This window comes from Homo sapiens, chromosome 2 (genome assembly GCF_000001405.40).
Source record: "Homo sapiens chromosome 2, GRCh38.p14 Primary Assembly".
Lineage (NCBI taxonomy): Eukaryota > Metazoa > Chordata > Mammalia > Primates > Hominidae > Homo > Homo sapiens.
This window is the reverse complement of record NC_000002.12, coordinates 230857275-230879668: the sequence shown is the minus strand read 5'-3', so window position 1 is coordinate 230879668 and position 22394 is coordinate 230857275. Positions and strand designations below refer to the sequence as shown.

Below are 22394 nucleotides of genomic sequence, written 5' to 3'. Positions count from 1 at the left end.
ACACCAAACCTCACTTCAGATCCTCCAGGAATGGTTACAAATTGTCCAGACGTGGTGGAGAATAGGACACCGCCCTTGTGCTTAAGGACATGCAATAATGATGTCATCTGCCAGGTAGAACATTACAGGGTGGTTTACAGGCACTTAAAGCAGCACGACCTTGGGCGAGTCGGTAAGCTCTCCCAGCCCTGTTCCCCTCCTCACCCGGAAAGTGTGAACTCTACCTGGCTCAGATCCAGGGTGCTACGAAGGGGATATCCTACACTCCTTGGCTGAATCCAGGATGCCCAGCTCTTTAGGGGCCAGATGTCAAGGTCTGCAGGCTTCTCCCTGCCTGCTGCTCCCGAGGTCCAGCTCCTCGACCCTGCCCGGAGCACCCCTCCTACACCCATCTCCCCTCCAGCCACACTCAAGTCAAGGTCAGAAGTAAAAGATTTTTATTGTTCTATAGACACTTCTGAAAAGAGATCTAATTGAGAAAATATACAAAGCATTTAAGAGTTTCATCCCCAGAGACTGACTGAAGGCGTTACAGCCCTCCTCTCCAAGGCTCAGGGCTGAGAACGGTTAGCATATCGAATGATCAGTAAAAACATGCAAAAGTGAGAAGGAAAGGGAAAAAGGTGCATTCCCCTAAGCTGAGGGGGATGGAATTTCAGAACAGAGGAGGCAGGGTGGACAAGTACCAGGTGGCTCTCCCTTTCCCTCTGTGTTATCTTTCAAAACAGTTCCAAGCTTGGAGAAAGCAATGAGCTCCACCTACTCAGCAGAACCCACGGCTCGTCCCCCGTGGACGTGACTGAGCAGTGACCTTGCCTGCCCCGTTCCTCAGCCGCCCATCCCACTGCCTTGACTGAGGGGACCCTGCTTGTGCTCCTGGGGGGCAGGACTGGGGGTCCTAGCTCCTTGCTTCTTTGGTTCCACTCAGAGAACAGTTGTGCTTGACGGACTCATCCCCACTCCCCAAACTCCAAGCTCCTGCTGGTGGGCTGAAGGCACTGACAGAGTCCCTGGGACACCCCCAGGTAGCCACCTTCTCTTGTGCTCTGGTGGGTCCCTCCCTGGGCACATCGTCCCATCCTCAGCTCAAGCCCCAGGTCTAGGAATAGGGACAGTGAAGAAAGTGTACCCTCCAAGAAAAAGCTTCTGAGGACTTTTCTAATTGTGCAGATACTTCTGAAGCCCATGCCGCCCCGCCCCCACAGCCCCATCCCCTTGCCCAGGGCCTCACATGCCCGGCTCCCCCAACCGGTCCTTCCCCTTGGGCTGCCGGTGCAGCTGTGGGCCCAGGCTTTGGCAGGCCCAGCTTCAAGACAGTGGGACACAGAAAACACTTTGCAGCATCGCCTCTCCCTCCGCCACACCCAGGTCAGCAGAGATGGGCCCCCCACCGAGAGATCACAGCTCTGGTACAGGGAGGTGGGCAGGGTTGGAGAGGAATGGAGAGACATGTCACCTCTATAGAAACGCGTCCAAAGTACAAGCTAAGCAGGGGGAAGGAGGAGGGCCAGAGAGCAGCCGGAAAGAAGAAAAGAGGAACACGGCAGGGGGTTCTGGGGGAGGAGGGCCTCACACCACCCCGCAGATGAGCGTCTCCACCACGAAGGTGTTCTCGAAGTGGCGGATGGCATTGCAGTTCTTGGCCCCACGCTTGTTGATCCCTGGGAGGAAAAAGAAAAACCCCAGTGAGCCCTGCATCCTGGCTGAGTCACAAAGACCACCAGCCTCAGCCTGAGCCACAGGAGGGCCAGGAAGTGACACCATTCACCCAGATTCACCCAAAGAGCACAGTGAGAAATGGGGAGAGCTCGAAAGCTGGAGTCAGCCTGCCCATGTCTGCCACCTCCCTGCTGTGTGACCTCCAGGGTGTTAACCTCTCTGCACCTGTTTCCTCATCTTTAAAATGGGCAGCAAAAATAATAATGAGGATGAGAATGACTTACACTCTTAAGAGGTCATAAAGAGCACACAGCATTGCCCGGCACACGGAAGTGCTCTGCTAATGCTAGCTGTTATTGCTGCTGCTATCTGAGCTCTCTGACAGCTGGGCTAGGCGTGAAGATAACTGTGGTCTGGGGCACGGGACAGGGGCTACTGTGGGTGAAGCCAGCCACTCACGCCTCCGCGTTGCCCGGCGCCGGAGCCGGTAGGTGTCTTTCCCGTTGCACAGGTGGTAGATGAAGGACCCCAGGGCCTCCTTGTCACTGACATGCTCCGTGACCACCATCTCCTCCTGGATGATGTACGTCTGCGGCAGGTAGGTCCCCCTCTGCAAAACAAGGTGGCCGCCACAGTGAGTCGGCCCCTCAGGCTTTCGTCCAACCCCTCGCCCGAAATGCCAGCCCACCTCCCTCCTCCAGAGGCCCCTGGGCTGGCCCTTCTGATGTCCTCAGGCACTTCCTGCCTGTGCCCGGTGCCTGCACCTGTGCTGCCAGGAGCAATGGCATGCGCACGAGTCCGTACCCAGGGTACAACCTTGAACACTAAGGAAGCCGGTCTCGGGGCATTGACTCTGGAGATGTGGAAGCAGGGGGATAGCAGAGGCGAGACCAATCTGGGTACAGGGCCCAGGTGCCAGCAATGTCTCTTGCTCCCCCAACCCCTGACACAGGAACTTCCTGTACCTCAGACCTAGCCTCCATGAGACAGGGGGCAAGGGAGGGACAGGATGCTGCAGACATCCCCCCAACCCCCTGCGCACCTTCACGTTCATGAGGAGCTCCCAGAAGTTGCGAGGGGGCAGCACAATGGTGGTGTTGAGTTCGATGACATAGCACTTGTCCAGGGAGATATCATGGTACGCAGTCAGACCCTGGCAGGAGAAGGGGTTGGGTCAGTCTCTGCAGGAGGTGACAGCTGACCCAGGCAGGGCTGCAAGAAGCTTTGGCCAGCCAGGCGCGGTGGCTCATGCCTGTAATCCCAGCACTTTGGGAGGCTGAGGCGGGCGGATCAAAGGTCAGGAGATCGAGACCATCCTGACTAACATGGTGAAACCCCGTCTCTACTAAAAATACAAAAAATTTGCCAGGCGTGGTGGTGGGCACCTGTAGTCCCAGCTACTCGGGGGGCTGAGGCGGGAGAATGGTGTGAACCCAGGAGGCGGAGCTTGCAGTGAGCCGAGATCGTGCCACTGCACTCCAGCCTGGGCGACAGAGCGAGACTCTGTCTCCAAAAAAAAAAGCAGCTTGGCCAGCAGGGGCAGGAGTCCCACCATGCCTTCCTGGGACCCTGGGCCTTCAGGAGCAGAGTCCTCTCCAGACTCCTCAATACCTGGGCGGGCACTCCCTTTTCCTGGTCTTCTCTTAGCCTGTTGTAGAAGGTGCCACATGATAGAGGAAAATAGCAGCTGATTGCTAAACGCCTCTGTTGTTATAAAGCTTCTTCTCATGTTTACAGAGCTGAGGTTTGGGGAACATGGTAACATCCCAGCTGTGCATTTATGAAACCTGTGAGGGCCAGCCATTCCTGGGACAGCCTGGACCCCAGCGAGAGATGCCCTGTCTCAGGACCCATGGGGGTTACATGAATACGCATGAGACCCACTCTGCAGAGACCCGCTGAGCTGTACACGCAATGCACTCGATGGTGAATGTACTACCCCTCGATACAACGCACTGGCCCTGCCATGACAGCCAGCGTGCAGCTGGCAGGAGGCTGAGGAGAAAATCAGCCTCGGCTGCTTCATACTCAGCAAGAACCATTGTTGCTAACAGGAGAAAAGCAGTGTCTTGAAGACCCTGGTAAGCCTAACCGTAGACACCTGCTGTACTCCGAGGAGTCTCCTTTCATCCCTGCTCCCCTTGCCCTGAGTCCCCGGGACACCCTCCCACCCCCCACCCCCAGGCCCTGGCCAGCCTCACCCGCTGGAAGTCATGGATGATGTCTGCAGGGTCACCGCCGCCAAACTGGGGCACAGGCACGTTGATGCGCTCGTAGTTCTCGTCGAGGTAGATTTTCACATCCTCTTCCAGCTCCATCTGAGTCCGGACCTGGGAGGACAGGGAGTCCTCATACAGCACACCACAGCGGAAGAAGTTATCTCGGGCCAGCTGAGCAAGGCGGAGAGACAGACAGACAGTCAGAGAGGCTGGTCATACACGCACTCCGTAAGGCCCCCTCTTGCCTACCCGTCCGCTACATGCCCCAAAAGCCTGCGGAAGCAAGAAGAGCAGGGACTGTGAGACCCATTTCGCAGATGGAGAAACTGAGACGGTGGGGCATCAGGTCAGGGTCTGGGGCTGCCAGTGAGGAGATGAGCTGATTCTTGGGCAAGGCGCTTCCCAGCTTCACAAACGGAAGGGAGGATGAGCTGGGTCTGCCAGGTTCTAGGTGGCAGACCTCTCTGGGCCTCAGTTTCCCCATCAGTAAAGCATGATGATCCCTAAGGTCCCTTCTGGCCTCCAAGTCCTTGAGTCGGTGACTGGGAAAAGGGGTGGCCCAGCAGGACTAGGACCTGGCCACCTCCGTGCCCTCCACAGAGGTGCAGACACCAGAGAAAGAGCCTGGGGTTGGCAGGGGGTCAAGGACGAACCTAAGAGTTGGGCACCTACGCCTGTGCACGACTGCCTTTCCTGTCACCTGCTGTCCTGGCCTGCAGACCTGGAGGGGCCTAACACGGCGGGTGGGGAGGTGGAGCTGGAGGCAACACTGTTAAGAGTCTTGTGCCCCTATCACGGTTACCTCCACATCCAGCCTCGGACAAGTGCCATCGCCCTTCCTGGATATCCCTGACCCCTGTCTTGGAGAAACCTTGACAGACACTGTGTCTGGTGGGCCAGTCCAGTCACTCCATCAGTAAGGGAGGCCAGGCAGCCTGGTGTGATCCCATCAACTGAATGGCCGGGCGGGCCAGTCTGCCCACTCTTACTTCTGGAGGGGGCTCCTGGAGGGGCCTGTAGATACATGCTTGGGACTGCCTGGCCTGGGATCGGCAGGATTCCACCGTCTGTTTGATTCAGTGCAAGTTCTCCAGGGAGGATGCGTCATCGCAGCATGGGGGGCTCCTGTGGGCTGTGCGGGGATGAGAGCCCAGGGAAGGTGAGGCTCCGGGGCTGCATCCCACAGTGGCTGGACACCCCGAATACTGTCCCAGGGCACAGACCCAGGGGCTGCTGGGAGGTGTCCACACAACGAATTGGGGTGTGGGGAGAAGGGTGTGAGTCGAGGGTGGAACAGAGGGGACCAGGAAATGCTGGCCCAGGTCCTAGGGTAGGGCCACAACAGGAAGAGGCCTGTGGGAAGGTCCCACACAGGACCCTGGAACGAGGGGGACGCAGGCCATGGAGGGAGTGGGGCGGGGCAGGGGGATGCTGCACAGAAAGGAAGGTGATGGGTGTATGTGAGCTGAGCTTTCAAGGGGAAAGCCCCGTGAATGCAAACTCTTCAGCAATTTCCATCGTGGAAAAACTGGGGGACAACAAAGTTAAACGCTTAGGAGTGGGAGGTCACTTGGGTCATAAATGACTGGCAAGTCCCACCTCTTTGTCACCCTGAGGTTCTCTGTGAGTTGTACGTAGGTTTATCCTTTTAATTTACCTACTTTCATTTCCAAGCACACAGCGACACTCCCTCCCTCCCAGGTCTGGGTTGGCCCAGCTTTGTGCCCAGGTCCCCCGGGGAGGGGGATGATAGTTGGCAGCAAGGACACACTCCTGCTTCTGGAAGGAGGTGGTGGAGACTCTCTGTACCCACCCCTCTCCCTCTCTTGTTTGGTAACCCAAATGTCCATGCACAAGCACAGTTAGGTCAGCCTTAAAGCGTGACCTGCAGGTGCAGGGTCTGAGCTGTGGAGGGGGATCACAGTTCCAGTTTCTGCCAGATCTGAGTTTCTGGTGAGAATTCCCCAGGGTGACCCTGTGGGGCGGGCCCAGTGCTGTCACCCGGATTCATGCTTGGCTCCCCAGGACAAGGGGCTAAATGTGGGACTGGCCTGCATCCAAGGAGGCCCCAAGGAGGAGGGGGCACCCCAGTCTTGTGGGCTGGCCGGGCACTCGCTCCCACCTGAGGGCATGTCTGGGGCTTCCTGCTGCCCCCTTGCAGACACTTCCCTCCATGCCTCTCTAGACATGACCCTTTCTCGAGGCCTTGCCCCTACCTGGCCCGGCCCCTCACCTGCGCAAGGAAGAAGTATCTGTAGATGTAGACAGAGGCGAACACGAGGCCCATGAGCAGCACGACCATGCCCATCGACAGGTAGCACACGCCGCCCACTGAGCCCCCCCTCTTGGATCGATGTTGTGGGGGCTGCTCCTCCTGTGGATAGCAATGCTGGGTCAGTGGGGGCCAGGGCCCCTCCCCTGGAAATCCCCCCTTCCCTAAGTCAGGCTTCACCTGCTGGCTGGGCCCGGAGGGAGTCTTGGGGGAAAGGGAGGGAAGGAGATGACACCTAGAAGGGAAAGGAAGGCCCACCAGGGTCACCCGGACTCGTCCTGGCTAAAGAGAAACCGAGACAAACCTCGAAAGAGAAAAGGAGACACACCTCGAAAGAGAAACCAAGACACACCTGGAAGCCACCGAAAGAGATGCAGTGGGTTCAGCAGGTGCATTTTGAGTTATCTGAGCTCTTAGGCCTCTTGCTTATACCAGCCGTGACCGTGGTATATTCTTTCAAACAGAAGATAGGGGATGTGCCGACCTGGCCTCGGTGACTTTAGGGACTTAGAAATCTCTGTAGGAATTGAGACACACCAGGCAGGCTGGGAGCTGCTGCTCTGGACGATGGGGAGCCCGGGAAGGCTTTTGAGCTGGGGAGTGACAAGATCCACTCTAAAACCAAGGTGCAGAGGGTAGACTAAAATGAGGACAATAGGAGGTGGGCAGGCTGTGTAAAGGCTGCTCAACTCCACCAAGGAGGCTGTGACTGATGGGGGCAGGGGCTCCAGGAGCCCCATGGGGTCTGGGCATGGGTGCTTGTCCCCAGCCAGGGAGCTCTAGGCCTGTGATCCACACTGGCCCCCCACAGGCACCGACCGGCAGTCAAGCAGGCTGTTACAAGTGGTGTAACAGCTACAGGATGAAGCCCGGAAGCTTCCATCCACCAGGGAGCTCCTGCCAGGAGAGAAATGTGGCTGTCCGGAAGGCCAGGCTAGAAGGATCCTGGAAAAATCTGCTCTGGGAGCCAGAATTGGGCTCAAGATCATAGCTGCAGGGCTGCCAAGAAGCCAACCTAACCCATCTCCAGGCCACACATGTGTGGGGTGGTGGACGTAGGTGTGTGAGTATAAAATTCAACAAAACTGCTTTACCCAGAGCACTGACGAGAGCCAGCCAGGTGAGCTTGGTCAATTTCCTGTCTCTTCTCCTCCCTACCTCCTATGCCTTCCCCCGGGCCCTTGCTCACCCTTGGAGATAATGCAAAAGCCCCGGGGCCAGTCTCTGCCTCCAATGTTCACCATTTAATCCTTCCTCCGTGGTGTCCACATACGGCCAAGAGTGAGGTTAGAGGTCAGTCCCTGCGGACTGCCGCAGTATTGGGGAGAGGAGGGGATCCAGCCCCAGAGCCTGAAGCTTCTCATTCTGGCTCTGCCACTACCTGCCTGCTTAGCACTTTCTGGGCCTCGGCTTCCCCATCTGCAAAATGAGCAGGTCAGACCAAGTGACCTCTCAGGCCCTTTCCGGCCAGGCGTTCTGGGATGGGAACAGATTTCCTTTCTCCCTTCCCCCTGGAGGGGGGTGGTTCAGGCCTAAGTGACTCAGGACAGGCCCTATCTCTCAGCACAGCACAGGGGTCCTGCCCTGGGGGCGCCTGCTTCGCTCCTCAGGTTTCACCTCCCACCCTTTTAGAGCACAGGGGAGTGTGGGGCCTGGGCCCTGGGGAGCTGAGGGTCTGACCCGCCCTGCTTAGGAAAAGGACAGAAAATGTCTGGAGGACCCCCCCTTCACTGCGGACATGCGTGAGCAGGTCAGCAGGCCCCCAGCATCCTCACCATGGGGTGCCCCTGCCTGTCCTGCACCCTCACACTCAAGTCTGCCCGCAAGGGAGCCTGCTGGGTGGGTGTGGGAGGTCAAACCACTGCCCGCACTGCCTGGCCCATGAGGAGGCCGGGGCCTCTCCCCACCTTGCCCTGCTTTAGGGGTCCCGTGATCATATGGACCACCTGCCCACTGTCATCTCCTCAGCAGCCAGGGGCACTAACCAAGGTCACCAGCAAGTGACGGGCATGGCCACAGTGCACAGGGCCCTCAGGAACAGCTGCTGGCCACAGGGGGTTGGGACTAAATGGCTTTGGTTTTCCAATGGACTCCCGGGAGCAGCAAGAGACGGGGGTGACACCTTCCGTTGGCATCTCCCAGGGATCGAACCACCCAGGAGCTCTTGCAAACCAGGCACCAGGGATGCCCTCCTGCCCCTCTGGCGCTCCTGAGCAGGTCTTAAGGAAAGGTGGCTGACCCTGACACAGGCCAGGCTGCCTACAGCAGCTGGGAAATCTGCCCTCGGGACACAACAAACACCAGGGCTCAGATTGTATTTAGGGGTCAAGTGGGGCTACAGGCCCAGCGGGGCCCTGCAACCTCCCCCTTCTCGGGTCTCCCATGCAAAATGTGGACAGACTCTGCGTGACAGGGGTTTTGCTGGGATTAAACGAGACAAAGAACCTAAAAGCCCTTTGTAAAGGATCAAGTGCTAGATAAAAATAGCAGATCTTTATCAGCCGAGCCTTTCCTTTTTAGGGCTGACTCTGTGGACAGCTGTTGAGGCTGCATTGTGGCCAGACTTTTGCTTCTGCATTCTGGAAAACCAGGGAAACTAGCTTGTGAGATTGCTAACAACCAGAAAGACAGAAAAGGGAAAAAAAAAAAAGTCAAAGCGCTACGTGGGAGAGCCCGAGGGCCTGCTCCACAAATCAAATTCACCGACAAGGTGAGGCCTGCTAGCTTTATGGCAAAGGGCAGCCTCGCCTTTCCGCCTTTCCGCCTTAATGCTGGTCTGCAGAACTTGAGCTGGGTCCCGTGTCTCCCTGTCCTGGGGGAGGGGCTGGGCTCGGAGGCCCCACCGAGGGAGGTTAGAGAAGACAGAGCAGGGAGAAGGTGAGGCTTCCACGGCCCCAGCTGAAGAGCAGCAGTGGCAGGTGTGGCAGAGAAGGGCAGGGGTTCCTGCCAAGACCCCTCACTGTGAAGGCTGGGGATCCCCCACCTTACCTAGACTGCGGGTGGGCACTTCTCTCTCATGGCCCTGCTGATGTCCCCCAGCACACACCCGGGCTCAGCCACGCTGCCACCCTCCCAGCTCCGCTCCAGCCTGCAGAGCCAAACCCTCAGAGGCACCATTATGAGCAGAAGTGCAGAAGGCAGCATTACAGGCTACCAGAAAGTAGACAGGAAAGCGCAGATGTCCCTGCTTGGAGGCGAAGGCATTTCCTCCATAAAGCCCCACACAGAGGCAGAACTCCTAAATCCCGCCCCAGCGCTGCCTCTGCCTACTGTGCCCAATCAACACCAAGGCTCAAACACCAAAGCCCTGGAACCCTCACTGTCCCTTTGGCCCTCAAAGCAGCCTGTGATCTCGGGGTATTTACACCTGTCTGGGGACAGTGGGGCATCAGGGAGCCTGGGCTCAACCCAGAGCCCTGGCCCCTTGGGATCCCTGGTGCCCAGCTCACTAGAAAGATGGCCGAATGGCCCACCTTCCTGAGACCCCAGCCGCACCACCTATCATGCTGGGGACCCAGAAAAATGTTGCTCCCCATAGGAAGCAGTTACTGACAGTGAGGTATCTGAGGAGGGGGGCTCCCATTTAGATAGTAGAAAAATATTGCATATTGTTTCCAAGGCAACAGAGCTCTCTGAGCGAAGGGCGCATGAGCCGGAAGTCCAGGGACCCGAGAGAGGCCTGGGCCTCTCCCTGCAGGCTTAAACTGAGACCCACAGGGGCACTCATTAAATGATTTACCAAAGCCAGGGCCAAAATGGTCAGGGGGAAACCAGCCAACTGTAGCATTAACTCGGCAGACCCCCACAGCTGGAAGGGAGCGCTCCCGGGCCCCATCCCCCAGTAACAATGTCCAAATTAACTGCAAGCCGATTTAACGATGATTGCAGATTGCAGCCTGCCTGGAGGGGTTCGGCAGCCAGAAACGCACTCCTGAGGCCCAGGCTGAGAACAGGGAAGATGGGGGTTGGGGAGGCAGTCTCATCTCACCTCCCCCACATCTCTCCTGGTCCTCAGCAGCTTTCTTTCCCAGGCTCCAGACCACAGAGGCCAGGGCACCCACCGAGTGTGTGTGTCTTGTATGTGTTCAAGACAGAGCCTAGCTGGGGGAGAGGAGAGTGGGCAAACACTGTCCACCTGAGCACACAGAGCCCAGTGGTCCAGAGGCACAGATGCCATCTGCCAACAGGGTCAGGGGTCCCCATCACTCTCCTGTCCTCCCTTCCAGACTGCAGGCCCCACGGGCAGCATCTGTGCAGATGCGCTCTCGGCTTGGCTGGGCCAGGCGAATTCCCTCTTCTCTTCCATCCCTGATAGTCAAGGCATCTCCAGACAACAAAAGCTCACTGCTGGAAGAGCCCTCATGGGGAGAGGGAACTTGGAGAGAGTGGGGCGGTGGACAGAGGGGCTGGCCAGGTTGTGCCTCTGTGATTTCACCATAAACATTTTTTCTCCACACTAAGAGAAACTCATCCTCACTGGCAATCTGCTGACGGTCTTGAAACATGCAAGGACTGCTGAGAGAAGAGAGCAGAAATGAGGGAATGGAGAGAGAAGCGGCAGGAAAGCAGAGAAGCCACCGTGGGGCCTGCCGGGGCGCCAAATCCCAGGAATGGACGACAGCCATGAAAGTCCCCACGCTGCCACAGGGAAGGACCTGGATGGAGCAGGGCCGCTGCTCCACAAAGTGCTTTCGGGCCAGGCCCTCTTGGCCAGTGGGCATCAGGACACTGGGGTAGGGCTAAGCTGGCCAGATTTGCCCTCCTGGCTGGCACGGGACCCTCCCCCAACCGCTCCAGGAGACCCAGCTCCTCCTGCCGAGGGCCTGAGACCAGGACACACTAGGAAACTGAAATCTGATCCCCAGGTATGCAGGCTGGGGAGGGGGTGACACAGGACCATTAATCAAAGGCAAATGCCAAGGAGAAAATTACAGAGGTAAGAAGATGATTGTATTTAACTTGTTTTTCTCCCCTTACAGCCCCAGCTCGTGAGCCTCTACATGCCCACATCTGTGCGTGCATGTGTGTGCATAAGTGTGTGTGTGTGTGTGTGTGAGTGCAGGCACAGGCAGGGTGTGGGGAGAAGGGGCAGGCTAAGAGGGGCATGGCCAGCCAGTGGGCCCCCAAAGGGGAGGAGGGATCCAGTTGGCGCTGGGAGGGAGTGCTTTGCTGTCCCAGGGGGTGCTTCCGGTCCAGCCCACTTCCCAAGCTGGCAGTGTCCCAGCTCCTCATTATCTCAGAGTCAAAACACCAGGGGGGGAGGCCGGGCAGCTGGAAGCCCAGCTGGCCCCCACCCCCATCCCTCCCTGGCCCACTGAGGCACTTCCTTCCAGTCTCAGGTCCACAGACAAAATCCTCCTTGTGTTGCAGTTTTTGCTCAGAAGCAGGGGCAGTGCCCACCGAGAGGGTGCTCCTGCCGCCTCACCCTGCCCCCACCCCGCCCTCACTCTGGGCCTGGACACAGGTCAAGAACTGCCCCAACGCACAATCATCTGTTCACCGCACAATCATCTGTTCACCGAGTGCTCCTCCTGCGGATCACTTTTTACATCTTGTTTTGGGCCGGGTGTGGTGGCTGACACCTGTAATCCCAACAATTTGGGAGGCTGAGGTGGGAAGATCACCTGAGGTCAGGAATTTGAGACCAGTCTGGCCAACATGGTGAAACCCTGTCTCTACTAAAAATACAAAAATTAGCCGGGCATGGTGGCAGGTGCCTTTATTCCCAGCTACTTGGGAGGCTGAGGCAGGAGAATCACTTGAACCTGGAAGTGAAGGTTGCAATGAGCCAAGATCGTGCCACGGAACTCTAGCCTGGGTAAAAGTGAGACTCTGTCTCAAAAAAAAAAATAAAATAAAATAAAATAGATAAAATAAAATAAATCTTGTTTTGGAGTCCAGTTCAGACACCAAGGAGGGTTCTGGGGTCACTGCCAGCCAGAAGAAACGTTTTAATAAGCTTTCCTGGGCATTCCCAACAGTACGGGACAAAATCTACACGCCCTGCCCTGAGAAAGCAGCCTCCTGGCTGCCATCCCTCGGCTCACAGAGCTACAGCTGAGAAATGGGCCTCCTGCCTGCTCACTGCTGGGGGCAGGAGACGAGGCCTGGCTCCTTGCCAGAAACTGGGTAAGGAGGAAATGTGCGGGTTGGCCAAGTGGGGCAACAGGAGGCCCGCAGAAGTGAACTGTTTCCAAGGCTCCAAATCTAGCAGGTGATGGGCAGAGCCAACTTGCAACACCTAAAGTCCCTCTGCACCACGCCAGGGCCTTGGGAAGCTGTGAAAGTTTACTAACATGCAGTTCTGTCCTAAAGATGCCAGGATTCTAATTCTTTCCCCAGATCGCATAGTCCTAAGCTCCCCCTTGCCAATTAGAGAGGGAGGGGACCCTGCCCAACTGACAAAGTTTGAGGGAGGAGGTACTCAGCAGGCTCAAGGCCATTACAAACAGCACGCAGGAAGATGTTGATATTTCCATTTCATGCTGGGTGAGGGGGAAGAAAGGACGCTCAATTTCAGAGCCTGATGAGAAGCCAGAAGCTAGGATGTCAGTTATGCCCCGAGATGCAGGTCTCTGTCAGACTGCCCAAACCCATGCCATCAGCAGGCTGCGGCTGGAGAATGTGCCGCTCCTGCAAAATCTGGGGGACCTTCTGATGGAGTTGGAATAACACCCTCCCACTGTCTGACCTGGTCCTCCCTCCTCAAATATCTCCAGGAAGAGGTGGCTAGGAAAAGAGATGGGCAAGCGTGCTGCCTCCTGCCCCCATCCCTGCCCCTCCCCAGGCTGAGTGGAGGGCAGCTTCCCTTCCAAAGAAAAGGAGTCTTGAAGAACCCCTTGCAAACTTTTAAAGCTGCAGAACCATCTTCTTCAAATATGGAGCGCCCCCTCCACCTAAGCTTCAGATGAAAAGGGGGGAGCTGCTCTCATGGGGTGCACAGCAACCCCCAACCTCGCCTAGGTGGTTGTTGAACTCTTGTGGCTCTGAGCCACTGGTTGCTGCAGTGACCACCATAAAAGGGCAGGGGGTTCTCAGTCTCCTGGCATTCCTCACTCAGGGTCTCTGCCCAGGCTGACACCCAACTCTGACGGCCCTCTCCGGCGCCCCCTCCTCCAGGGTCCAGGTCATCCTCTGCAGGCCCCTTAATGCCCCAGGCAAGACTGAACCTGAGCCACAAAACCTGGGGAGGGGGCTAGGCGTTCAGGAAGACTCTTCAGAAGCCTGCATCTGGAAGTGGGGAAGCAGTGGACAAAGACTTTCTCAGTCCTGCCTCAATGCGGGGTGGGGAGGCGGGGAGGACATGGGCTTGGTAAGCCACAAGACCGCTGGGGGCGGCGCCCACGTAGACACCTTTGCCAGGCACAATAAAACCTGGCTGGGCCAGCTCTCCCTCCCTCCCTGTCCCTGCCCGCCACGCGTTCTGCCCCCTGCGGGCCCTTCCCGGACACAAGGCACGCAGCTCAGACAGTTTTCCACGGCGGAAATGCCTTCTCTCCCCCCCGGCCAGAGGGAAAGTGGAGGAAGCCGGGGTAGGGGAGGGGGATGACAGGGGTGGGGGAACGCGCACAGAGCCCGGGGACCCAGGATGCAAGGGCACTGGGGCAGTTGGGAGCCCTCCCCGTGGGGTCGGGGGACAGCCCAGCGAGAGGCTGGGAATGGAGAAAAGAGAGGGGAGCAGGGAGGCCCAGACGGCAGGGCGTGGGGTGGGAAGGGGGCACCCGGCCTCGGACCCCCGACGTCCAGAGGCCGCAGCGCCGTCGGTTCTGGCTGATTTCCATTTCATCACTTTCTGGTCTGTCAATTCCGGTGCAGGCCAGCAGCACATCCTCTGTCCCTCGCAGCCCCCAATTTCGGAGGAAATCAACGGCCCCACCCTCTTCGTTGGTACCAGACCCCCCCACCCCCAATTCCCCAGCCAATCAGGTCCCACCGCCCTACTTTGGAAAAACTACGTCTAACCCTCCTCCCATCCCCCACCTGGGGACTCGACTCGCGGCTTTCCCAGTTGATTGGAACCAGACGCGTACCCCCCCACCAACATTCCTCGAACTTCTTCGGACCAGCCCCCTCCCCCTATAAGGCGGCGAGGGGGCCCCCACTTTTGGAAGAGACCTCGAGCACTTCTCCACCTGAAGACCAGAACCAGACGCCTCCCACTCTTCGGACTTCAGCTTTTGGCTGCCGCTTTAGTACGGGACTTAAGCCCCCTCCTCATTCTGGGATAAGCAACCATTCGAGACTTCCCAACCCTGCTCCACCCCGGGCTCTGGGGCCCTGACGCGCCTCGGGCAGTCCCCAGGGCCGACGGGGCGCGCCTGGGTCGTGAGCCTGGGTCCCCCGCCCCACCGCCTGAGCCCCAGACCCTCTCACCCTAGCCGGCGTCAGCAGGATCTCGGTGGCCGAGGCCGGCGCAGGGGCCGACGCCGACGCCTTGTCAGCCTTGTCGCCCTTGATGCCAGCCACGGCGGGCTGGAAGCTAATCTTCACCATGGCTGCGCCGGCCCGCGCGTCCGCCCCGCAGCCTCTGCCGGTGCAGCCTCGGTCTCTGCCTCCGCCGCTCCGAGCTCTGCAGGCACCGGAAGTTTGGATCCCGCTCGCGTCCCTCTCTCTAACCCCACCCCCAGCCCTCCCCGCCCCGTCCCCGCGGGAGGGCCCCGGCGCCCGCCGCGCCTGCGCCCCCTTCCCGCCCGCGGGGCCCGCAGTGACCCCTGCCGGGCGCGCCGCTCCGCACCTGGGGCGGGTCGGAGTTCCTTCTGCCGCTCGCTCGCACAGTCACTCACTCGCTCGCTCACTCACTCACTCACTCACTCGCTCACTCATTCATTCAGCCGTCACGCTCGGATCCGTTCTCCGTAGCATAATCCCTTCGCATTCCCTGTCCAAGGCCAGCATCCCCGCAACGCAAGTCTTTGTTAACCCAGTGTTTGCCAGGCAAATGCAGCTTCCAGACAACTCACCCGTCTCTCCTGCCCCACTTCAGGTCTTCCCCTTTAGAAACGCTGGAGCCTCCGCTCTACCTGTCCCCACGCCCCCCTCCTCCGACCTGTCCTTGGCGCGGGGAGGAGGCTTTGAGACAGGCGCCAAACTGCTGCCTCCGTCTTGCCTTCTGAAGCCATCCACGCCTCCTTCATCCTCCATCTTGCTTCTGCCTTCATTCTTTATTCCTGCAAAACCTTCCTGGGGGGTCCTGGGGTGCACGCTGGAGCCGCCTGGAGTGGAGAAGGGAAGGCCGCCCCTGCTCCCTGGCTCCTTCGTGTTGCTGCGACCTCAGTTATTGGGTGACCTCCTGAACTGCCCTTGTCTCACTCATCCAGGAGGACCCTGGCGAGAGTGGAGGGAAGACCCCCAGGGCGGGTGTCAGAGGCTCGGGTTCCACTCAAGACTCTGCTCCTCCCAAGTATCACGGGTACTGGGGAAGCAGGGGCTTCTGTTGCTGGGATGGCTGCTCTTGGCACTAACGCCCTGAATCTTTCCTCTTTGCTCCTGGTCCAGACTGGGCCAGGGACAGCGCCCAGCAACACACACAGGTTGTGCTGAGTGGTCCGCTTTGGTTCTGCTGTTGGGCTGCCAGTGGAGGGCAGGGGAGTCCGTCCGCTTCTTGAGGACAGTCCGGGGTCCTCCACTGATCTCTCTTCTCACCTTTCAGGTCTTTTGCAGCTGCCTTGGGCCCTTAGCGCCCACGTCCCAGACCCGGACCTCTTGGCTCAGATCTTGGATGAACCTAGCAACCTTGAGGACAGACAGGTGGGGAAAGAAGAAAGTCTAACTGATGCTAAGGCCACCAGCCTGGGGAACTGGGGGGAGGGAATGGGGAGGTGGAAGAAGACAGATGGTTTGGAGGAGACGAGGAGGAATCTGGTTTGGCACAGAGCCAGAGAGGAAGGTGTTATGGACTACCGCTCATCACCTGCTCCAGATCCCATGGGAAACCTGGTGTCTGGAGAAGGCAAGCTCCACGTCTTGCTTAGGCCACACCCCCAACATGCATTCCTTCACTCAGTGTTTTCCAAGCACCCCTGTGTGCCAAGCATTGTGTTAAGCTCTGTGGCAGAAAACAGAGATGCCCAAGACACAACCCAGCCACCAAGGATGTGGTCATGTGAAACCTTCTATGAGTGGCATTCTTTCACGTGCATTCAATTATTTAATTTTCATCACAGCCTCTGTGACCTACACATTAGCCTCATGTTAATAGTGATAGAAGGTAGCATGACTAAACCCAGGGTCGCAGAGCTGGTTTGGCACAAATCTCTGGTCAGCAAGACAGGGCCACCTGGGTGAAGCATCCACATGCCTGAGATTGGCAGGCGAGCACCCCACTTCCCCTGGAAGGCCTTCCCAGACCGGCTGGGATAAGTCCCTTTCCTGTGCACCTTCAGCACTGTGCACATCCCCCTCGGGCCTCTCCTTACGCTTGACCATGGACTCAATGCCGGCCAAGTGCTGGGCGTACAACCTAGTGCAGTGATTCCTAAATTTTTTGGTTTCAGGACCCCAAGAGCTTTTGTTTAGGTGGCTTATGTCTATCAACATTTACCATATTAGAAACTAAAACTCAGAAAGTTTTAAGACACAAGAATACATATATTCCATTGGGCATCAAAGCGATGTCATCACACATGTAGTCTCTGGAAAACCCCACTGCACGCTAATGAGAGAATGAGAGTGAAAAGGGCAAATAATGACTTATATTGTTGCAAAAAATAGTTTTGACCTTGGAGACCCCCCTGAATGGGTCTTGGGGGGCACCATGCTCTGCAGATCACCTGTTCAGATGCTCAAGAATCCATATTCCATGGATTCTAAGAAACACATTTCTTCACATTTTAACATCTTGAGAATCAAGATATCTTTTACAATTATAATTGGCAGTGATTAAGTAATGTCTTTCACAAGTGATAGCATCTTATATTTGATGGAGTACAGTATAGCCAGTCAATAATCCAAGGGGAGCCAGGAGGCTGCGGGAGGTCCATGTCGCATACTGAGTTTTGTGGACTCAGGGAAGGACAGCAGGGTGAATGCGGTCGTGGTGCAGCCCAGGCTCCATGCAAGACAGGAGATTTGGGTGGGAACTGGAAAGACACAGGGTGTGGACAAGTGACAGGGAAATGAGAGTCCGCACTGGGAGTGAGGAGAGTGACTCTGGGCCAGGAGCCCTCAGCTCAGTCCAACAGCCATTCCTGCCAGCACCTGAATCCTCTTTGTTCTGTTCTTGCATCTTACCCAAGTGGCAGAGCTTCTCCTGTCCCCCTTTCTGGTTCCAGGTTCTGCTCAGGGACTGCTAAGTTCTGTTGGTGAAAGTGATACCATCATGCCCCTTGGGACCAGCATGCTACCTCCTCTTGGAGGGGCATGGTGGCAGCCATGCAAAGCGGTCCCCTTGGAGCTGCAGGGTGGGACAGCTGTGGCTTCTTTAACCAGTCATTCTCCAAGCAAGGACCTCGGCCAGCAGCCCCAGCAGCACCTGGGAACTTGTTAGGAAGGCAAACCCTTTCTATGTCTATTCCGAAACTCAGGGTGTGTTCTGTGCCCACCAAGCCCTTAGTGATTCTGATGCACACTCGGGTTTGGGAACTGCTGCTCTGTCACTCTGTCCACACTCTCAACGGCCACATCCTGCCCTCTCCAGACTGCTGCACACCTCTCAGCAGCTCAGCTGCTGAGGATCTGGAAGCCATGGCTTTAGGTGGCTTATGTCTATCAACATAAGAACGCCCTCCTGCCTGCCAGCACATCCGCCCCCATCCACAGCTGCCCTTCTGCCCACTGCTCCTCCTGCCACTCGCCGCGGAAGAGGCGTCTGTCTTTTCTCTCCAGCCACTCTCTAGATGAGGATTCCACCCCTCCCCTCCTATCAGACACCTGAGACATCCATCAGCCCCCGCCTCCTAACCTTTCAGCTCTTCCTGTCAGCTCTGAAACATGCTCGTATTAGCCTTAAAACAAAAACAAACCCCTTCTTTGACCCCACGTCCTCCTCCACTTGATACCCTGTTTATCTTTTCTTCTTCTTAGCCAAACCTCTTGAAAATTCAGTCTCCATTTCCTTATCACTCCCTACACTCATCCTACCTCAATCTGGCTTCTATTCCTCCACCTCCACCTGGCTGAAATCTCCAAGCTGCTTTTCAGTCCTCATCTTCCTTGCGTTGATTTTGAGCCTCTTGGCTGAGGCCTCTCCACTAACTCTTCCCTTCCCTCATCAACTCTGGTGTGATTGGCTCCAGTGGGAAGGGCTGTTGGAATCAATCCTGCAACAGTTCACTTTGAAAATAAAATCTCAGGCTGTGCACGGTGGCTCCTGCCTGTAATCCTAGCACTTTGGGAGGCCAAGGTGGGCGGATTGCTTGAGCCCAGGAGTTCAAGATCAACCTGGGCAACATAGCGAGATCCCCGTCTCTAGTTAAAATAAAATCAGAAATGAGAACTTTTACATGTATTTGCCTGTTTCTCAAAATTTAGAAGTTGAATGTTGTTTGCAAAGATATCTAGTTTATTACAATTTAAAGCACTGGTTATGTAAGACTTATGGTTGTAACAAATCCATAGAGGGTCAGTAGATTAGCTTTCTGGAAATGTAACGGGCTCAGACAAGGGTGTGCCCATTGTCCTCAGAGTTCTTCTCAAGGAGAAGTGTGCTCCATCAATCACATGCTCTGAGTAAGGGAGTGGGTGAGTTTGAGATCCTGTTCTTCTGACAAGAGCAGCAGCTATCTTCAGCTCCACCTCCCCTACCTCCACCTGCCCCCTTCAGAGGCCCCTCTTTTCCACTGAGGAGCTAGCTGAAAGCTAAGTGTTGAAGGTAATTAAAAAAAAATTTTAGGTAAAATGAAAAACTATTTTACAAAGATATATATTCATGTATCCAACAAACCAATCAAGATACAGAACATTTCCATAATTCCAGAAAATTTCTTCCCATTCTTTTCCAGTAAATCCCCACCACCACTGGCAACCACTGTTCTGGTTTCCATCACTATAGATTAAGTTTTATCTGTTCTTTAATTTATTTTATTTTCTTTTTCTTTTTCTTTCTTTCTTTCTTTTTTTGTTTTTTTTTTTTGAGACAGAGTCTTGTTCTGTCACCCAGGCTGGAGTGCAGTGGCACCATCTTGGCTCACTGCAACCTCTGCCTCCTGGGTTCAAGCAATTCTCCTGCCTCAGTCTCCCGAGTAGCTGAGACTACAGGTGTGTGCCACTACACCTGGCTCATTTTTTTAAAGGAGGTTTTTAGTAGAGACAGGGTTTCACCATGTTGGTCAGGCTGGTCTTGAACTCCTGACCCCAGGTGATCCACCCACCTTGGCCTCCCAAAGTGCTGGGATTACAGGTGTTAGCCACCATGCCTGGCCATGTTCTTGAATTTCATATACTGTACAACATGTATTCTTTTGTGTCTAGTTTCACTCAATATGTTTATGAGGTTCATCCACAATAGTTTGTTCTTTTTACTTGCTGAGTAATATTCCATTTTTTAAATACACTACAACTTGTTTATCCATTCTCCTGACATGGACATTTGGGTTGCCTTCAGTCTTCCACCATAAAATTGCTATGGACATTTCTTTACATGTATTTTTGTTTTAATTTCTCTTGAGTAAATAGCATCAGTGAGGATGAGGTAGAAATGGCCCACCCTACAAGACAGACATATTTTATCACTGACATTGTTTAGAAATGCGAATGCATTGTGATGATGTAAAGTAGATCAATTTTTAGTTAGTTTTATTATAATTTTTAAATTCTGTGCAGAAATTGCACTCCCTTATTGCCTGATCTGGACAGACCATTCACATGACTCTCTCCCCATTTCAGCACAGCCCTGCCAACATATCTGTGCTATTTTACACTCCCACCAGCAATGTATGAGAGTTTCAGTTGCTCCACAACTTTACCAATATTTGGTGCTGTCAGTTATTTTAATTTTAGCAATTGTATTTAGTAAAATTTTATGTTATTGTGGTTTTAATTTGTATTTTTCTGATGACTAATGATGCTGAACATCTTTTTATGTGGTATTGGCCATTTGTATATCTTCTTTTGTGAAGTGTCTGCTTAAGTCTTTTGGTCATTTAGACTGTCTTTTAATTATTGATTTGTAGGAATTCGTTTTATATTGTGGATACAAGTCTTTTGTCATGTATATTCATTGTGAATATTTCCTTTCAGACTGTGGTATTTCACTTTTAAAATTTTGTCTTTTCATGAGTAGAAATTTATAATTTTGATCAAGCTCAATGTATAAATTTTAATTTTATTGTTAGTGCTTTTAATGTCCTGTCTAAAAATTCTTTAAACACCCATGTTCAAATTTTGAAGATATTCTCATATTCTTTCTTTCAGAAGCTTTATAGTTTTAGGTTTCACATATAGGTCTGTGATCCACTTTTAATTGATTTTTTAATGTAAGGTATGAGGTAGGGATTGAGGTTTATTTCTTTTCCATATGGTTATACAGGTGTCCCAGCAGTATTTGTTTAAGAAATTTTGTTTTTCTCATTTAATTGTTTTGGCATCTTTGTCAAAGACCAATTGACAACGTTTAATGGATTTATTTCTAGACTCTTTGTTCTGTTACATTAGTTTATTTTTTTCTATCCTTATGCCAATTTCACACTATCTTGATCACTTTAGATTTCTAATAAGTATTAACATCAGACAGTATGAGTACTCTGACTTTTTCGAGACTGTTGAGCTTTTCTAGATCCTTTGAATACCCAAATAACCATTTGAATTGGTTTATCAAATTCTACAAAAGAAAATCTGTTGGTATTAATTGGGCTTATGTTAAATCTATAAACCAATTTTGGGGAAAATGATATCTCAACAATTTTGATTTCAAATCCATGAACATGGTATATTTCTCCATTTGTTTAATTCCTCTCACAAATGTTGTGTTTTTTTTAGTATAGAGAATATAGAGGTCTTGAACATCTTTTGTTCAATTTATGTCCAAGTATTTTATGTTTCTGATGCTATTGCATTTATTTGTTTCGTTTTATAATTCTTTATTGGTAATGTATAGACATACAATGGAATTTGGAAAATCGACCTTGTATTCTTTTTTATTTGAGACGGAGTCTCACTCTGTCGCCCAAGCTAGAGTGCAGTGGCGCGATCTCTGCTCACTTCAAGCTCTGCCTCCCAGGTTCACGCCATTCTCCTGCCTCAGCCTCCCGAGTAGCTGGGACTACAGGCACCCGCCACCATGCCTGGCTAATTTTTTGTAGTTTCAGTAGAGACGGGGTTTCACCATATTAGCCAGGATGGTCTCGATCTCCTGACCTCAAGATCCACCCGCCTTGGCCTCCCAAAGTGCTGGGATTACAGGCTTGAGCCACCGCACCCAGCTGACCTTGTATTCTTTACAACCTGTATATATTCATTTTTTAGTCATGGTATTTTAAATAGGTTCATTGGGTTTTCTATATACATAATCGCATCATCTGAGAACAAAGACAGTTTTACCTCTTTTCCTCAATCTTTATGCCTTTTCTTTCTCTTGGATTACAAGTAAGGGCTCCAGTACAATGTGGTATAGATGTGATAACGGTGAACATCCTCACCTTTTTTCTGATCCTAGAGAGCAAGTGTTTGCTGTTTCACTAGGAATGTAATTTAGTGGCAAGTTTTTCGTAGATGTCTTTTCTAATAGTTTCCTAGGGCTGATGTAACAAGGTACCCAGGTCAAGTGCCAGAACATTAACAGATCCACCGATGGCCCCTCATTCCTCTTCCCATCACCACTTCTTACCCATGAGTAACCACTATCCTAATTTCCTGTTCATTGAGGAGCTTTCTCTATTTTTTAAAACTTCACATTCATGAGGCTCATGCTATGTGCTGTCTTCTGTCTGGCATCCTTAACACTATGGTTGTGAGAGTCTGTGTTGAAAATATATTGGCAGTTGGTTCATTCTCATGATTGTAGGTATTCTTTCATGTACTACAATTTGTTTATCCATTCCACTGTGGATAGATAATTGGATTGTTTCCAGTTTGGGGCTATAACCAACAGTGCTGCTACAAACATTCTGGCACGTGTCCTCAGTGAATGTATGTGCACCTCACTGCTGAGTACATACCTATCTGGGAACTTAGTCTCATTTGTTTTCTTTTTTTATGGATAGGGTTTTGCCCTGTTGCCCAGGCTGGTCTCTAATCCCTGGGCTCAAGCGATCCGCCTGCCTCAGCCTCCAAAGTACTGGGACTACAGACATGAACTACCGCACCTGGCC

General features: G+C 53.9%; 1 protein-coding gene across 5 annotated transcripts, besides 15 other annotated features; it reads right to left on the bottom strand.

Annotated features, from left to right (window-relative positions):
* Nucleotides 1-414: 414 nt before the first annotated feature.
* ITM2C (integral membrane protein 2C) lies at nt 415-15484 on the bottom strand. Of its 5 annotated transcripts, NM_001287241.2 has the most exons (7): nt 14885-15484; nt 14524-14719; nt 6112-6252; nt 3861-4049; nt 2702-2812; nt 2119-2269; nt 421-1661 (listed from the first exon to the last, which is right to left on the bottom strand). In NM_001287241.2, the coding sequence occupies exons 2-7, from the start codon at nt 14641-14643 to the stop codon at nt 1570-1572; spliced, it is 804 nt and encodes a 267-aa protein (NP_001274170.1). In that variant the 5' UTR covers nt 14644-14719; nt 14885-15484; the 3' UTR covers nt 421-1569. The 5 variants fall into 5 exon arrangements, with proteins under 5 accessions (NP_001012534.1, NP_001274170.1, NP_001274169.1 ...); NM_001287240.2 differs by lacking the exon at nt 14524-14719; NM_030926.6 differs by lacking the exon at nt 14885-15484 and having other exon boundaries at nt 14524-14727.
* Nucleotides 1097-1871: an enhancer, noted in NCBI's record as "H3K4me1 hESC enhancer chr2:231742513-231743287 (GRCh37/hg19 assembly coordinates)". NCBI's record gives its function as "activates a minimal SCP1, AML or CMV promoter by ChIP-STARR-seq in naive H9 embryonic stem cells {active_cell/tissue: H9 hESC(naive)}" and the evidence as "EXISTENCE:reporter gene assay evidence [ECO:0000049][PMID:30033119]".
* Nucleotides 1472-1571: an enhancer, noted in NCBI's record as "active region_17252". NCBI's record gives its function as "activates an Ori minimal core promoter by ATAC-STARR-seq in GM12878 lymphoblastoid cells {active_cell/tissue: GM12878}" and the evidence as "EXISTENCE:reporter gene assay evidence [ECO:0000049][PMID:35858748]".
* Nucleotides 5389-5458: a silencer, noted in NCBI's record as "silent region_12417". NCBI's record gives its function as "represses an Ori minimal core promoter by ATAC-STARR-seq in GM12878 lymphoblastoid cells {active_cell/tissue: GM12878}" and the evidence as "EXISTENCE:reporter gene assay evidence [ECO:0000049][PMID:35858748]".
* Nucleotides 5819-6138: an enhancer, noted in NCBI's record as "active region_17251". NCBI's record gives its function as "activates an Ori minimal core promoter by ATAC-STARR-seq in GM12878 lymphoblastoid cells {active_cell/tissue: GM12878}" and the evidence as "EXISTENCE:reporter gene assay evidence [ECO:0000049][PMID:35858748]".
* Nucleotides 6339-6878: an enhancer, noted in NCBI's record as "active region_17250". NCBI's record gives its function as "activates an Ori minimal core promoter by ATAC-STARR-seq in GM12878 lymphoblastoid cells {active_cell/tissue: GM12878}" and the evidence as "EXISTENCE:reporter gene assay evidence [ECO:0000049][PMID:35858748]".
* Nucleotides 8804-9461: an enhancer, noted in NCBI's record as "NANOG-H3K27ac-H3K4me1 hESC enhancer chr2:231734923-231735580 (GRCh37/hg19 assembly coordinates)". NCBI's record gives its function as "activates a minimal SCP1, AML or CMV promoter by ChIP-STARR-seq in naive H9 embryonic stem cells {active_cell/tissue: H9 hESC(naive)}" and the evidence as "EXISTENCE:reporter gene assay evidence [ECO:0000049][PMID:30033119]".
* Nucleotides 9462-10119: an enhancer, noted in NCBI's record as "H3K27ac-H3K4me1 hESC enhancer chr2:231734265-231734922 (GRCh37/hg19 assembly coordinates)". NCBI's record gives its function as "activates a minimal SCP1, AML or CMV promoter by ChIP-STARR-seq in naive H9 embryonic stem cells {active_cell/tissue: H9 hESC(naive)}" and the evidence as "EXISTENCE:reporter gene assay evidence [ECO:0000049][PMID:30033119]".
* Nucleotides 13411-14067: an enhancer, noted in NCBI's record as "H3K27ac-H3K4me1 hESC enhancer chr2:231730317-231730973 (GRCh37/hg19 assembly coordinates)". NCBI's record gives its function as "activates a minimal SCP1, AML or CMV promoter by ChIP-STARR-seq in primed H9 embryonic stem cells {active_cell/tissue: H9 hESC(primed)}" and the evidence as "EXISTENCE:reporter gene assay evidence [ECO:0000049][PMID:30033119]".
* Nucleotides 13528-13627: a silencer, noted in NCBI's record as "silent region_12416". NCBI's record gives its function as "represses an Ori minimal core promoter by ATAC-STARR-seq in GM12878 lymphoblastoid cells {active_cell/tissue: GM12878}" and the evidence as "EXISTENCE:reporter gene assay evidence [ECO:0000049][PMID:35858748]".
* Nucleotides 14068-14726: an enhancer, noted in NCBI's record as "H3K27ac hESC enhancer chr2:231729658-231730316 (GRCh37/hg19 assembly coordinates)". NCBI's record gives its function as "activates a minimal SCP1, AML or CMV promoter by ChIP-STARR-seq in naive H9 embryonic stem cells {active_cell/tissue: H9 hESC(naive)}" and the evidence as "EXISTENCE:reporter gene assay evidence [ECO:0000049][PMID:30033119]".
* Nucleotides 14068-14977: a biological region, named in NCBI's record as "H3K27ac hESC enhancer GRCh37_chr2:231729658-231730316".
* Nucleotides 14418-14507: a silencer, noted in NCBI's record as "silent region_12415". NCBI's record gives its function as "represses an Ori minimal core promoter by ATAC-STARR-seq in GM12878 lymphoblastoid cells {active_cell/tissue: GM12878}" and the evidence as "EXISTENCE:reporter gene assay evidence [ECO:0000049][PMID:35858748]".
* Nucleotides 14608-14977: a silencer, noted in NCBI's record as "silent region_12414". NCBI's record gives its function as "represses an Ori minimal core promoter by ATAC-STARR-seq in GM12878 lymphoblastoid cells {active_cell/tissue: GM12878}" and the evidence as "EXISTENCE:reporter gene assay evidence [ECO:0000049][PMID:35858748]".
* Nucleotides 15385-16043: an enhancer, noted in NCBI's record as "H3K4me1 hESC enhancer chr2:231728341-231728999 (GRCh37/hg19 assembly coordinates)". NCBI's record gives its function as "activates a minimal SCP1, AML or CMV promoter by ChIP-STARR-seq in naive H9 embryonic stem cells {active_cell/tissue: H9 hESC(naive)}" and the evidence as "EXISTENCE:reporter gene assay evidence [ECO:0000049][PMID:30033119]".
* Nucleotides 17169-17779: an enhancer, noted in NCBI's record as "H3K27ac-H3K4me1 hESC enhancer chr2:231726605-231727215 (GRCh37/hg19 assembly coordinates)". NCBI's record gives its function as "activates a minimal SCP1, AML or CMV promoter by ChIP-STARR-seq in primed H9 embryonic stem cells {active_cell/tissue: H9 hESC(primed)}" and the evidence as "EXISTENCE:reporter gene assay evidence [ECO:0000049][PMID:30033119]".

What these genes read in the sequence shown, in the direction of transcription:
- ITM2C (NM_001287241.2), bottom strand. Translation starts at nt 14,643, where the DNA reads ATGGTGAAGATTAGCTTCCAGCCCGCCGTGGCTGGCATCAAGGGCGAC. An exon ending in AGCTCCTCATGAACGTGAAG is followed by an intron (nt 2,270 to 2,701) that starts GTGCGCAGGGGG and finishes CTTGTTTTGCAG; the next exon opens with AGGGGGACCTACCTGCCGCA. An exon ending in GCGCCGGGCAACGCGGAGGC is followed by an intron (nt 1,662 to 2,118) that starts GTGAGTGGCTGG and finishes TTTTCCTCCCAG; the next exon opens with GGATCAACAAGCGTGGGGCC.